At 37.4% G+C, this 13,937-nt stretch overlaps 1 protein-coding gene across 14 annotated transcripts in view, besides 1 other annotated feature; it reads left to right on the top strand.

The window, feature by feature from the left end:
- GLMN (glomulin, FKBP associated protein) overlaps nt 1-13,937 on the top strand; it is a 124,443-nt gene that overhangs the window by 94,898 nt on the left and 15,608 nt on the right. For 7 of the 14 annotated variants that reach the window (XM_011540546.3, XM_005270401.4, NM_053274.3 and 4 more), the window contains 9 exons: nt 4,295-4,482; nt 6,171-6,224; nt 7,812-7,842; nt 7,945-8,034; nt 9,206-9,247; nt 9,455-9,528; nt 11,309-11,393; nt 12,215-12,324; nt 13,021-13,084. In XM_011540546.3, the coding sequence (XP_011538848.1) occupies nt 4,295-4,482; nt 6,171-6,224; nt 7,812-7,842; nt 7,945-8,034; nt 9,206-9,247; nt 9,455-9,528; nt 11,309-11,393; nt 12,215-12,324; nt 13,021-13,084 (738 nt within the window). Of the gene's footprint in view, nt 1-4,294; nt 4,483-6,170; nt 6,225-7,811; nt 7,843-7,944; nt 8,035-9,205; nt 9,248-9,353; nt 9,408-9,454; nt 9,529-11,308; nt 11,394-12,214; nt 12,325-13,020; nt 13,085-13,937 lie in introns of those variants that run through there. The other 7 variants (XM_047442822.1, NM_001319683.2, XM_017000138.2 and 4 more) reach the window with 4 other exon arrangements.
- Nucleotides 3,738-3,938: a silencer, noted in NCBI's record as "peak316 fragment used in MPRA reporter construct". NCBI's record gives its function as "represses an SCP1 promoter by STARR-seq MPRAs in K562 erythroleukemia cells {active_cell/tissue: K562}" and the evidence as "EXISTENCE:reporter gene assay evidence [ECO:0000049][PMID:32103011]".

Genomic DNA, 13,937 nt, shown 5'->3' with positions numbered 1-13,937 from the left:
CCTGGCCAGGAGATACTTTGAATGAGAGGGGGTGAGATTACCTAAAGAGGTGACAAGAGAAAAGGGCTCAGGAGTGAACTCTAGAGAGTACCAGCACTTAAAATGAGCCCAAGAAGGAAGTCGGAAGTGGTAGAAATACACAGAAACTGGTGTAGTAGAGTTTTAGAAGGATAGAGGTGATCAGTACTGTTAAATGCATAGAGGTATGCTGAAAAGCATCTGTAGGATTTAGGAAGTAAGATGGCATTGGTAATCTTAGCAAGAACAGTGTAAGTACAGTGTTGGAGACAAATCAGAGTGGAGTTGATAAAAGAATGAATGACAGATGAGAAAAAGGAGATGACTAGTGTAAGCTATTCTTTAAAAGAGGTTGGATGAATAAGGAAGGAGAGGTAATAGCTAGAAGACATGAGCTAAGGGTAGGAAGGTAATGGAGGTGGGAAGACTTGAGCATGTTTATAGCTGTTGGGGTGCAAACTGTTGAGGGAAAAATACAAGTGTTTATGAGATAACTGAAATAATGTGGCTTATGAGCAAATGGCTGGACATAGTATCAAGGCCATAAGGAAAGTCCTAGACAGGAAGAACTAGTGGGTATCAAGGTAAGAAAACATGTTGAGAAATTTGTAGCAGGAATGGAATCTTACAATTGAGGGGAGTCAAACCCACTGGCCTCAGATTTCTAGGTGAAGGAGAGATGATCTCTTAATAATGAGGAGGTAGAAATGGGCATTGAGTAAAAGGGCTTAAGGAAACTGGTAAAGGTTTGGAATACTGAGGGGAAAGGAAAGAGATGGTGGAAGACCACGGAAGCATGAGTCAGTAGTACTGAGCACTCAATGGTGCTTGGAAACCACAACTATAGTGGTAACAGTCTGTATTTTTTTATCCAGCAATACTCAGCTCCCTGTGTGTAGAAGCAGAGAAGGTAGATTGCAGTTATTTTTCCAAGGCTGGCATTTTACTGGGTAGATACTGCTGAAGGAAATACAGGGTGCAGATAGTTCAGCTGGTCAATAATCCATGATTCAGGTTGGATAGGGAAAGAAGGGGGGTTAGGAGGGAATGCCTAGGTAGGTCAAAATGTAGGAATCACAGGACTGGAGAAGTCAGAAGTAGAAAAGCAGATTGCTAGGAGAGACAGGATGACAGATTTTGGTCAGAAAATGGGATATTGGAGTTTAAAGTATCAAATACAGAATAGTTCCAGATGTTCAGAGATCCAGCATGGGATTAGGTACTGAAATGGATTAGAACTAAAAGTCACTAGAATTTAGAAATTGAGAACCATGAGAGTGGATGCAATGACTTGTTGCTTGATTGAAAAATAAATTAATAATAATAAAGGACCATGAGACTAGCCTGTTATAGGGGTTATCTCCATGAACATTGAATTTTCCCAGGATCATAGCAGGAATTGGGTAGAGAAAAAGATTATGAGAAGGTGCCAGAGTCTTCAGTGAATGTCAGGAAATTACCAGGAAGTCAGCATATGACAGAGAAAAGGACAGTATGTTATCTGCATCAAAGGAAAATGTGCTTTTGTTGAAAAGTACAGAAAAAGCCAATACTACAATACTGTGCTAAGCCCCTACCTGTACTCCTCTACCCAACAGCTGCATTCCAGGCCCTGTGGTATAAAAGGTGTGAGAATGAGCATCTCCCACCAGAAATCAGACAGGTTTAGTTAAAGCAGTGAGGCAGAACAAGCATCCTATGAAGAGACTGAGGATGTAGGTGAGTGGTTCTAAAATCTCAGTAGAAGGAACATTGCAAGTAGAAAGAGCCAGCAGTAAGGATGCACGTAGCAGTCTAGAAGTAGAGGTGAGACCAGCTTGGAGATGAAATGAGGAGATGTCTTCTGTTCTGTGCTGGAGAAGTACTGGTAAGTGTGGTGTGGTTGGGATTCACAGGCCTCAGCCATCCTCACTTTGGTACAAGTTATTTTGGTACAGAACTACTAGAATGTCCCAAAGGCTGTAGTACAGGAACATTTCTGAAAGGACAAAAGCTGCCATGAATATTGAGAAATTGTATGGTGCCAGGTACAGCCTGGATCTGAGCAAGACTGCTGGATGGTGTGTGGATAGATAGTGAAGGCCCAGATTTGGGAACAGATTGGATCTCAGATATCCAGAGCAGCACTGTAGAATCTAGTTGCATATAATAATGTTTTAAAAAGGGTATCTTAGGCTGGGCACGGTAGCTCCCGCTTGTAGGCCCAGGCCTTTGGGAGGCCAAGGTGGGCAGATCACTTAAGCCCAGGAGTTCAAGACCAGCCTGGGCTGCATGGCGAAACCCCATCTCTATAAAAAATAAAAAAAATAAAAAAAAAATAGCGGGCATGGTGGCATGTACCAGTAGTCCTAGCTACTCAGGAGACTGAGGAGGGTGGATTGCTTGAGCCTGGGGAAGTCAAGGCTGCAGTAAGCCATGATCATGCCACTACACTCCAGCCTGAGTGACAGAGTGAGACCTTGTCGCCAAAAAAAAAAAAAAAAAAAACAGGGCTACCTTACTCTGGAAAAAACACATGTAGCATTGGCTGAATAAAGAAATGGAGCTTCATGATTAAGGACATTTGGAATCAGAGTGCAATAAACTTTTTGTCTTGTAGCTATAACCAGAATGCATGGCTTTGAAAATCACTGCAGCAGTATATATTTAGCATCTGGTCGCTGAATAGCAGTCTCTTGTGACTGAGGATGATTTTCCATGGTTCCTTTTTGTATTCTGAAATGACTAATGGAACCATCTGGGATCAGCAGATTTTAAGTCCCTGAAGGCTGGAAAAGACTTATACTTGGCTTTATAATTCCCCACAAAGTCAGGCCCAGCACCTTGCACTTAAGTGTTTATTGAATAAAAGAGTGACTTGTGTGGAAGTTATTCATTCTGCTTTAGCTGTTTTTGTCATTCATTCCCTTTTAACTCTTGTAGTTTGTTGTGACTTTAACTTTCTTACGCTTTTTTTGTGGAGCTGCTCGATAAATATTTGACATAGGTATTATGTCATTTTATGGCTCATCCAGTGTCACACAAGTAGTAAATGGTAGAGCCAAAACTCAAAATCAATGTCAGTGGATTCTGAAGGTAGGTGCTTTCTGGTACGCTAGAATTAGTACCAGTATAAGAGGCATAGGAGTGATCTTGTTTCCTGAGCGGAAAGCTTTATTTAGCCCTGTGGTCCTACCCACTCATGCAAGGATGCTTCTCTTTCTCGTCTCACATGAGAACCCTGATGACTGAGAGATCAACAGTGTTTCCTCAGGCCCAGCTGCCCTGCCCAGCGTTCCTGCATCCCACTCTCTACAGGCACAATGTTAGTGGAGCATTGTTCCTAGAGTATTCTTCATCTTAGTTGCTTTACCCTTGCTTCATATATTTGTATGTCTCACGTTTCAGATTGCTCTCAAATATCCCTGAAGCACTTTTTTAAAAAAAATTGTGGTGAAATATACATAAAATTCATCATTTTAAACTTTTTAAACTATGATTCTGAATTAATTTAGAATACTTCTGATGTATAAAATGCTATGTAAAATACGATTTTGCTGTTGGCTTCTGTATTAGTTTTTCATTGCTGTATAACAAATTCCTGCAAACTTAGCAGTTTAAAACAGCATACCTTTGTTATCTCACAGTTTCTATGGATCAGGAGTCCAGCCACAGCTTAATTGGGTCCTCTGCTCAGGGTCTCATTGGGCTACAGGCCAGTTGTTGACTGGGTCTGTAGTCTTATCAGAAGCTTAACTGGGGAAAGATCCACTTTCAGGTTTCCTCCGCTGGCAGAATTCATTTCCTCTAAGCTGTAGGACTGAGGTCCCCATTTTCTTGCTGGCTGTCAGCCAGGGACCACATTTAGCTTCTAGGAGCTGCCTGTAGTTGGTCCCTTGCCATGTAGTTCTGTCCATGAGCCTTCTCATAACATGGCAGCTTAGTTCTTTAAAGCCAGCAAGGGAGAGAGTCAGAGAGCAAAGTTTCTGACTCTCAGGGAAGGCCTGGACCCCCTTTAAAAATATACCTGATTAAGTTAGGGCCACCCAACTCAAAATCTACTGATTTGGGACCTTAATTACATCTGCAAAAACCCCTTCACTTTTGTCATATAATCTAATCATGGGAGTGACATCTTGGCGCATTCTGTTGGTTGAAAGCAAGTCTCATAGGTCCCACTCACGCTCAAAGGGAGTGATTACACCTCCCCTTGGTGAGAATGTGGAGTTTGAATACACGGGGTGGGGGGCATTTTAGAGTCTGTGTGCTATGGTTTCCTTTTTTATCCATTTCATAGGGTTTTTTATCAGCAATTGGACACCCTTTCCCCAAAATGATTTTTAATCATGGAAGGAAAAAGAGAACTTGGAATTACCTTGAATTTGAAGAAGAAGAAAATAAACAGTTAGCAGACTCAATGGCTTCTCTGGCATATCTAGTATTTGTACAGGGCATCCATATTGATCAGCTTCCAATGGTCTTAAGGTAAGAGTTAGTGTTTGGTTTATTCATGTATTCTAAAAGGAATTTCATAAAATTCTCATTTATCTAATGTCCAATATATGCATATTAACACACTAATACATTTTAAATAAATAGTAAAGGCTATTTTTAATAAGAATGATCCCAGCTATAATCTGTTAAAGATAGCAGTAGACAAGTAATGAAAGTGGGGAGTGTTGAAATAGGTGTAAGGGAATGGTGGGGACAAGAATCAGAAGATGATAAACAGGGCTTGGTTTTGAAGCTTTTGAGACCACCCTGGAACTAGCCAGGTACCCAGGGGTATCATCATCTTTTCACTGGATTACTGCTGTAATCCTGAGTGGATTTATATATCTACTTTTACTTCCTTTTAATTTAACACATTCTCAACATACCAGAAAGCGAAGCCTTAAAAGAAGTCCCTTACTGAAAACCCTCCAGTGGCTTTTTATTGCTTTAAGAATAAAGTCTTAATGCCTTTGCATAACTTCTGAGACAAACTTGTGCCTGGTCTGGTCCCTGCTTAATTGACCTGATTCATCTCCTACCACCTTTCCTCTTGTTTACTATGCTCCAGTGACACAGACCTTCTTTTGTTTCTAGTTTAAATGTTATGAATTTTCCTATTTGGCCTTTGTATATGCTTAAAATTCTCTTTATCCTTAAATGTCACTTTCTGAAGAAAGCCTTCACTCACCACCCAATTTAGGTTGAATCCTTCTATTATAATTACCTTGACCTTGTCTTCTTTTCCCACAATGTTTATTAAAATTATTTTTAAAATATATAATTTTATAATGTAATATCTTCTGGACTTTGAGTTCTATGATAATAAGGATTGTGTATTTGTCTTATAGGCATTGGGTATTTGTGTGAGTTTGTGCATTTATATATGAATATAGCTAGGAGTACATTCGTATGTAAATGTTGAAATACTGGCTATCATTTGCATGTTCACCATGTATGAAACATTATGCTAATAACTTTATATGCATTATCTCATCCTTATAATAAGCCTGTGAAATAGAGCATTCTCTCATTTTACAGATGAAAATAACAGGCTTAGACAAGTTAATATACCACTGAAGATCTAACTACTTTGTGGCATAGGTGGGATGCAGATAGCTCTGTCTGACCCCAGAGCCTATACTCTTAAGCATCACATTCTATCACCAAAATAACTTATACAGCATATGTATATTAACTTGCTAGGGCTCCTGTAAAAAAGTGCTACCAACTGGATGGTTGAAATAACAGAAATAGTTTGTCTCATAGTTCTGGATGCTCCTTCTGAGGGTTGTGAAGGAGAATCTTCTCCATGCCTCTCTCCTGGCTTCTGGTGATTTGCTCACAATCTTTGATGGTCTTTGGCTTGTAGATGCATTATCCTGTTCTCTGCCTTCATGTTCGTATGCTGTTCTCCCTGTGTGCTTGTGTCTGTCTCCAAACTTTCCTTTTACATAAGGACAACAGTCATATTGGATTAGGGCCCACCCTAATAATCTCATTTTAAATTGATTACCTCCATAACCCTATCTCCAAATAAGGTCAAATTCTGAGGTACTAGAGGTTAGGACTCCAACATATCTTTTTTGGGGGAGATACAATTCAACCCATAACAATATGTATGTGTGTACATATCTCTGTGTGTGTGTATAATATATATATTTGTTTTGTTTCTATTTTAGCCCATTGTACCTTTTGCAGTTTAATATGGGGCACATTGAAGTCTTTTTGCAAAGGTAAGATCGTTTAGATGGTATCTCAAAATGAAATAGTAGTGTTAAAATAGTCCTTGTTAAGATCAGCGGAGACTGCCTTTTCTTTGCTAAGCTCTAATTAATTAATTGGTTATTTTATAAAACAGCGAGGCAAATAATTCACGAGAGAGACAGAAATGAGTCAAGGAGGTTTTACACCAAAGTCTGTTTTATTTTAAACTTAAGACAGTATTAAGATTTTGTCTTAAGGGCTTTTACAGTCATCTGTTTCTAAGGTTTCTTCTCTTACTCCAAAAGTTGGTAAATTAAAACACCTCTACCCCACTGCATCCTCCTCCATCTTAAGGAAGGGCAGTCAATAAAAGAAGTTCTTCCGTATTTTTCCTTCATGGACACAGTCTGTGAATTGCATCAAAAGGAAGGAGGTGTCTTGACTTCCACCTTTTATAATTTAGATTATTGACAGTGATGTCATTCAATTACAACTTTTCTCATTTGAGGTGCTAAGCAGCAGGACTTTCTATTTAAAAAAAAAAAAAAAAAGCCAGGCACGGTGGCTCACGCCTATAATCCCAGCACTTTGGGAGACCAAGGCGAGAGGATTGCTTGACCCCAGGAGTTCGAAACCAGTCTCTCTCTCTACAAAAAATAGAAAAAATTAGCCAGGAGTGGTGGCGCCTGCCCGTTGTCCCAGCTACTTGGGAGGTTGAGGTGAAAGAATCACCTGTGCCTGGGAGGTCTGGGCTGCAGTGAGCAGAGATCATGCCACTGCAGTCCAGCCTGGGCAACAGAGTAAGACCCTGTCGCAAAAGAAAAAAAAAAAAAAAAGGAAATTACAGAGTAACAGGTATACATAATTTCTAGACAGAAATTAAAGAATTTCACAGAACTATATGCTTTGTTTTCTTTCACTATAACATGTAACATGTTTAAATTATCCCCTGAGATCAGTTAGGGCTTTGCAATTATCCTCTATGAACACTAGTGACAGTTTATCAGTCCCATCTCTTACCAGGTGAAGGAAGATTTGTAACATGGCAATGTCCAAAGCTTCAGCATACAAGGCAGGAATTTCCAAGGGTCTCCTGGCACAAGTAGTTACTAATTCTGTAAATTTGCTGTATTATGTATGTTTTAATGATTTTATATTCATTACATTTAGTTTCTGTTATTCATACAGTGATAATATGTATTGTTTTGAATCTAAGTCCTAAATTCTTGAGATTTCCAAACTGCAGAGTCATTGAGTCTTTTTTTGAATAAAAAGAATTGGAAAGATTTTACAGAATAATCAACTGGAATATATAGCATTGGTTATATCAGGTTTAGTTAGTTTCTTAGCACTTGCTGTTGAAGATCTATTGTTTTGAAGTTAGGAAATAATCCCTGAGTAGATTTATTTTGGTCAGATTTAGTGGCCTTAGCCAAACCGAAAGACAGATCAAAGATGGATTAAAACTTTTGATCAAGTTCTTCAACAGAATTTCTCCTTAATGATATGCATTTTAAAAGTGTTAAAATTTCAGTTTTTGCTGTATTTTTCATAAGATGAAGTATCATTCTAAAATAGTTTACAAATTCATGATAAATTTTAATATTATTTTTCAGAACAGAAGAGTCTGTTATCTCCAAAGGATTGGTAAGATGTTTGTTCCCATTATAACTTAAATACATAGTTATGTCAACAAATAACAGCTGTTGACTTCACTATATATGTATCTGCATATATTTTAATCTGTAGGAGCTGCTGGAGAATAGTTTATTGAGAATAGAAGACAATAGTCTACTTTACCAGTACTTAGAAATCAAGAGTTTTCTTACTGTACCTCAGGTAAATAAAATATGTATTCTAATATTGAAAATAGCCCTTTGCCTGTTCTGAACTTAAAGTAAGGTCTTTTCTGATTCCTTTCCCACTCTTTTCTCTGCAACCTTTGAAAACTCTGGTGTAATGCTGTCCAGTAGAACTTTGACAATATGAAAGCCACTAGCCAAACTGAACACTTGAAATGTGACTAAGGAACTATTTTTTTTTTTTTTGAGGTGTAGTCTTGCTGTGTCGCCCAGGTTGGAGTGCAGTGGTGCTATCTCAGCTCACTGCAAGCTCCACCTCCTGGGTTCATTCCATTCTCCTGCCTCAGCCTCCCGAGTAGCTGGGACTACAGGCGCCCGCCACCACACCCAGCTAATATTTTTGTATTTATAGTAGAGACGGAGTTTCACTGTGTTAGCCAGGATGGTCTCGATCTCCTGACTTCGTGATCAGCCTGCCTCAGCCCCCCAAAGTGCTGGGATTACAGGTGTGAGCCACCACACCCAGCCGGAACTAAGTTTCAAATTTAAATTTTAATTTATTTAAACACGAATAGCTATTAGAGGCCACCATTATTGATAGCACAGCATCCAGTAGAAAAGCATAACTTTCTTCTTTTAACACTTTATTTCTGTAGGGATCTTGGAAAATGAAGCTTCTTTATGTTTCTCATAACTCAAGTTCTCAGGACTCCATCTAAGGCATCCACTGACTCATTACCAGAAAGACTAATACACATTGTGTTTTTCCCTCCTATGGTTTATTTTGCCCAATCCTCTTTGTTAGTTATGATATCCAAGGAAATCCTTAGATTTCAGTGTGGGAACTGGTTTTCCTAATATTTAAATAGAAAAACATGGTTTTTGTTAACATATTGTTTGATTGTTTTTAATTAATAAATTATATTTCTGTAGATTTGATTTCATTTTCTTGCCACTGTAGACATAATTGAAAATTATCGTTTGCTTTTAAAAGTACACTGTGTGACACTCTACTCAATATCACTTAAAAAATCAATTGTAGTTAGCTTTCTGGAATGGAAGGCTTAGGGAAAAATTAATTTACTTCACTTTTAAATCTCCTACCCTCACTTCTCTGAATTTTTAGTATCCTATTGATGTATTATAGTTGTTTGTTTGCAGTCAGTATAATCTGTTTACATCTGAATTTTACATTTTTTTATTTCCAGGGCTTAGTGAAAGTAATGACACTTTGCCCCATTGAGACACTGGTATGTAAATATTTGGTGACTAAAGAATAATGAGTTACAGTGAGAAAATTTGACAAATAATTTAATTTTCTTTTTAAAAATTTTAATTTGTGAAATTTTTATTTAGGAGGTACAAGTGTGGATGTATTACATGCATAAAATGGATAGTGATGAAGTCTGGGTAAGCTTTATTCATTTTATATAATAATATTGTTTGTTCCATTTTAGAGGAAAAAGAGTTTAGCTATGCTTCAGCTGTATATTAACAAGTTGGATTCACAAGGCAAATATACATTATTTAGGTATGTATCAAGCATGGCTAATTGCTAAGTGTGTGGTTGATTAAAAGTCATGTTAATGCCATGTAATTGTTTTAGGGCATAGTATGTCGGTATGTTTTACATGTAATTCAACTCTGGTTGGAACCCATATTATAAATTCTCAGTGATGGCTAGAGAAAGGGTTAATCAAATATTTCAGACATACTATATATATGTCTATATTTTGTATGACTAATAGTATATATTGCAGTTCAATCAATTGGAATACTCTAAATTTGAAATAGACTTAAAAATAATTAAACTGAGATTGATGATGCTCCTGCTGGAACTTTATGTATGTCACTAATCTCCATTACTCACAGTTCAAATTGATGGCTCTGGAATTACAACTTTGATAGGCTATGCACTATGTTAATAGTAAGAGCTTACTAATACTGCTCTTTGAGGTGGATAAGATTCTAGCAACTCTCTAAGTTAAAGATTGGTAAACTTTCTAATTAATTTTCTGTGAAGAGCCAAATAGTAAATATAGGTTTTATGGGCTATACAGTCTCTGTTGCAAGTGCTCAACTTTGACTTTGTATTGGGGATGGGTGTGTTCCAGTAAAACTTTATTGATAAAATTGGGCATCAGGCTGGATTTGCTAAAATGTCTTACCTGGGATTGGCCAATATTAGTACTGTTCTTTTTTGGCGGGTGCAGCAGTGTGATCATGGCTCACTGCAGCCTTCACCCTTGGCCCCCCAGCTTCAGGTGATCCTCCCGCTTCAGCCTCCCAGGTAGCTGGGACTACAGGTGCATGCCATCATGCCCAGCTAATTTTTTTGTGGAGATGGGGTTTTGCCATGTTGCCCAGGCTGGTCTCAAACTCCTGGGCTCAAGCGATTCACCCACCTCAGCCTCCCAAAGTGTTGAGATGACACGCATGAGCCATCATGCCCAGCCAACACTCTTGATTCTATCTTTTCTTGTTTTCTATTGATAGTAAGAGCAAGTTTATGAAATCTCAATTCTTAGGTATTATACCGGCTTTCCTGTTCTGTTCTATGTGTATCTCTACCAATAAATCCCCTTTTTTTCTTAAGCTAGTCATATCTAGTTTTTTTTTTTTTTTTGCAATTAAGCTACTCTAGCACTGGACTACTTTCACAGGAAATAATTTGGGGATTTTTTAGACCATTATGTTAGTGCCCTTTCTTGCCATGTTAAATTATTGTAACTATGTTCATAAAAATATTCAAATTTTGGTTTGATAGAAATGGCTTGTTGGAAGATCCAGTTATAAATAAGTATTTACCGGCCGGGTGTGGTGGCTCATGCCTGTAATCCCAGCACTTTGGGAGGCTGAGGCAGGCGGATCACGAGGTCAGGAGTTTGAGACAAGCCTGGCCAACATGGTGAAACCCTGTTTCTACTACAAATACAAAAAATTAGCCAGGCACGGTGGCGGGCGCCTGTAATCACAGCTACTCAGGAGGCTGAGGCAGGAGAATCGCTTGAACCCGGGAGGCGGAGGTTGCAGTGAGCCAAAATTGTGCCACTGCACTCCAGCCTGGGCGACAGGGCGAGACTCTGTCTAAAAAAGTAAAATAAAATAAATAAGAATTTACCATTTAGTGAGAGCAATAACTATTACAGGTGACTTTGTAATTGGTTGATGACCTTGCTAATTACCATTACTGTGGGGTTTTTATTCCTAGAAGTAACACATGGCCTCTTTGAATTTGTAAAACTTTTATCACCATTTAATTCTAATGCTGTCCAGGATAATTTCACATCTATTGTAATTTTGCTTTCAAGGTGCTTATTGAATACAAGTAATCACTCAGGTGTGGAGGCTTTTATTATTCAAAATATCAAAAATCAAATTGACATGTCATTAAAGGTAAGAACATAGCCAAAGTGTCAATTACCAATTTATTTCGTAGGGTATATTTATTCATATGTAGAATACATTAATGTGAGTTATTGCTCTATCTCTAGTATTACTATTACTTAAATATTATTAAGGCATATTTTTTCCCCTATTTCTACTATGTTTTAAAAACTCTGAATTTGGAAATTTAGTTAACTATAAGTTTAAATTGTATTCTTTGAGGTTTTGGTTTTTGTTTTTGTTTTTTTTGAGACAGGGTTTCACGCCTGTCACCCAGCTTGGAGTGCAGTGGCATGATCTCAGCTCACTGCAGCCTCCACCTCCTGGGCTCAAGCAGTTCTCCCAACTCAGCCTCCCGAGTAATTGGGACTACAGGTGTCCACCAGTGCGCCTGGCTGAATTTTGATTTTGTAGAGATGGAGTTTCACTGTGTTGCCCAGGCTCGTCTTGAACTCCTGATCTCAAGTGATCCACCCACCTTGGCCTCCCAAAATGCTGGGATTACAGGTGTGAGTCATCACTCTGGGCCTCTTTGAGCTGATATTGTGGCTTATTTTTGCTTTGTTATATGCTTCTCAAAAATGAATGGAAACTTAAGTCTCTTCTGTTTCTGAGTGCTCAGTAATTCTAAATGGAAAACAGAGTGACCAGTGTTCTCAAACTGGCAGGGTTCGTTCCTGGTGTCTGGAAAGTGAATGAAAGTACGGAAATTAAAGTTAAAAACTGTATTTTAAATGTGCAATTCTTCATTTTTGTAGTGTCAAGGTATTAGAAAAACACATGAATTACATGAATTATAAAGCTTTCTCAATTTTTCGTTTGCTTTTCAGAGAACACGTAACAACAAATGGTTTACAGGACCACAGTTGATTTCCCTTCTTGATTTGGTACTTTTTCTCCCAGAGGGTGCAGAAACAGATTTACTGCAAAACTCAGATAGGTGAGGTGACCATTACCAAAGTTCACATAGTAAATTCAGAATAAAATGTGAAACATCTGCTTAGGGAACCTAAAGTAATAAAATGTCTTTTCCTGTGATTTTATGATCTATGGCTAATTCATTAAGTTACATAAAGATTTTTCATATTTAAGTGATTTGATAATGTGTAGAAACAAAATTAAAACCTCCTCTTTCTAGATGAATGACCAGCACTATGATTTGATAGCTTTTATGTACCCAGCATTCCATAGAAATTTGCAATGACAGCACTTGTGACTTAAAACTAAAAATCTGTGTATGTAATTTATGTGTTTAGGTTTTGTTGTTTTATTGTTTTCCAGGTCATTTTTTTTTTCATATAGAACATATAATTTCAGTTTCAGTATACTGGAATGGATATTGAGAAATGGTTTAAAGCATTTAAAAAGTAATCTTAAAATTCAGAAAGCAAGAGATGATGCTCTCAAATATTAAAGATAACAAGGCTTTCTTTAAACAAGGATGATAATTTTCACAATTGTATGATTTAAACAAATGGAAAACAGTGATAAGTTATTACTACTCAAAAAGATATTAATGGAAATAGTTTCTATTGGCAAACCTAATTATAAAAATATGACCAAAGTTTTAGCTTATTGAGATTGCTGTTGACTATATAAAACCATACTGTAAGTAACATATATTTTTAATTAACAGGATTATGGCTTCATTAAATTTATTGAGGTATTTGGTTATCAAAGATAATGAAAATGACAATCAAGTAAGTGAAGTATTTGAAAAGAAACTGTGAGTATATTCAAAAGGCATAAGGAATGTTTCAGATATTCAGTACCTAAAGCCAATATTTAATATCTTACCCAGATATAAAGGCCGGGAAGAGTGCCAACAATTATTCTGAAACCTGAAGTTAATTCCCAGGAGCATTTACCACCCCACATCCAGCTTTCCTTTCCCTTTCCATTTCCTATTGTACGTCTGCTTTCTTGCTGAAAGCACTTAGTCCTGTTGGGTGGATAAGTTGCAGGTCCTAAGTCAACTAACCTTGTGGAGCTCAACGTACATATGGTGTCTTGTTCAGTTTCCTCCACCTATAGCTCATGAGCTGTATAAAATCATCTGATATTTTAATATTGCCTCATCAGACATGACAAATTGAAGCATTTTCAGCACTAAAACAGAATTTGTTAACAGCACCTTTTAGATATGTTTAGGAAGTTGGATTTTTTAAAAATAGCACATCATTAGAAGTATTCAATAAATAGAGAAGTATTCAATAAATAGAAAACTATTTGAGGGAGATTTGTCATACAGTAAAATTATATTTGCTTTTTATCTTCTCTTTCTACCCTGTTCTGATCATTGCTTTCCCTATATGTGTCACCTCTATTAGCTAGAACTACCTGAATCATGTGTTGTTAATTGGTTTTTTTTTAGTAATTCATTTTTATATAAAGATGCCAAAGAAAATTTTTTTTAAATTAGGTAAATCGTGATTTGGGATGAAGGTTTATGAGAAAAGTAGCAGTCTCTTTCCTTCCTGACAGATCTATAGTAGATTCAGTGATTTGAACCCCCGTTCATCCCTCTTCAGCTGAAAATAGCTATTTGCCATC

The sequence above is a fragment of the Homo sapiens genome, chromosome 1 (assembly GCF_000001405.40).
Source record: "Homo sapiens chromosome 1, GRCh38.p14 Primary Assembly".
Lineage (NCBI taxonomy): Eukaryota > Metazoa > Chordata > Mammalia > Primates > Hominidae > Homo > Homo sapiens.
The sequence above is the reverse complement of the archived record's forward strand: the minus strand, read 5'-3'. Positions and strand labels throughout refer to the sequence as shown.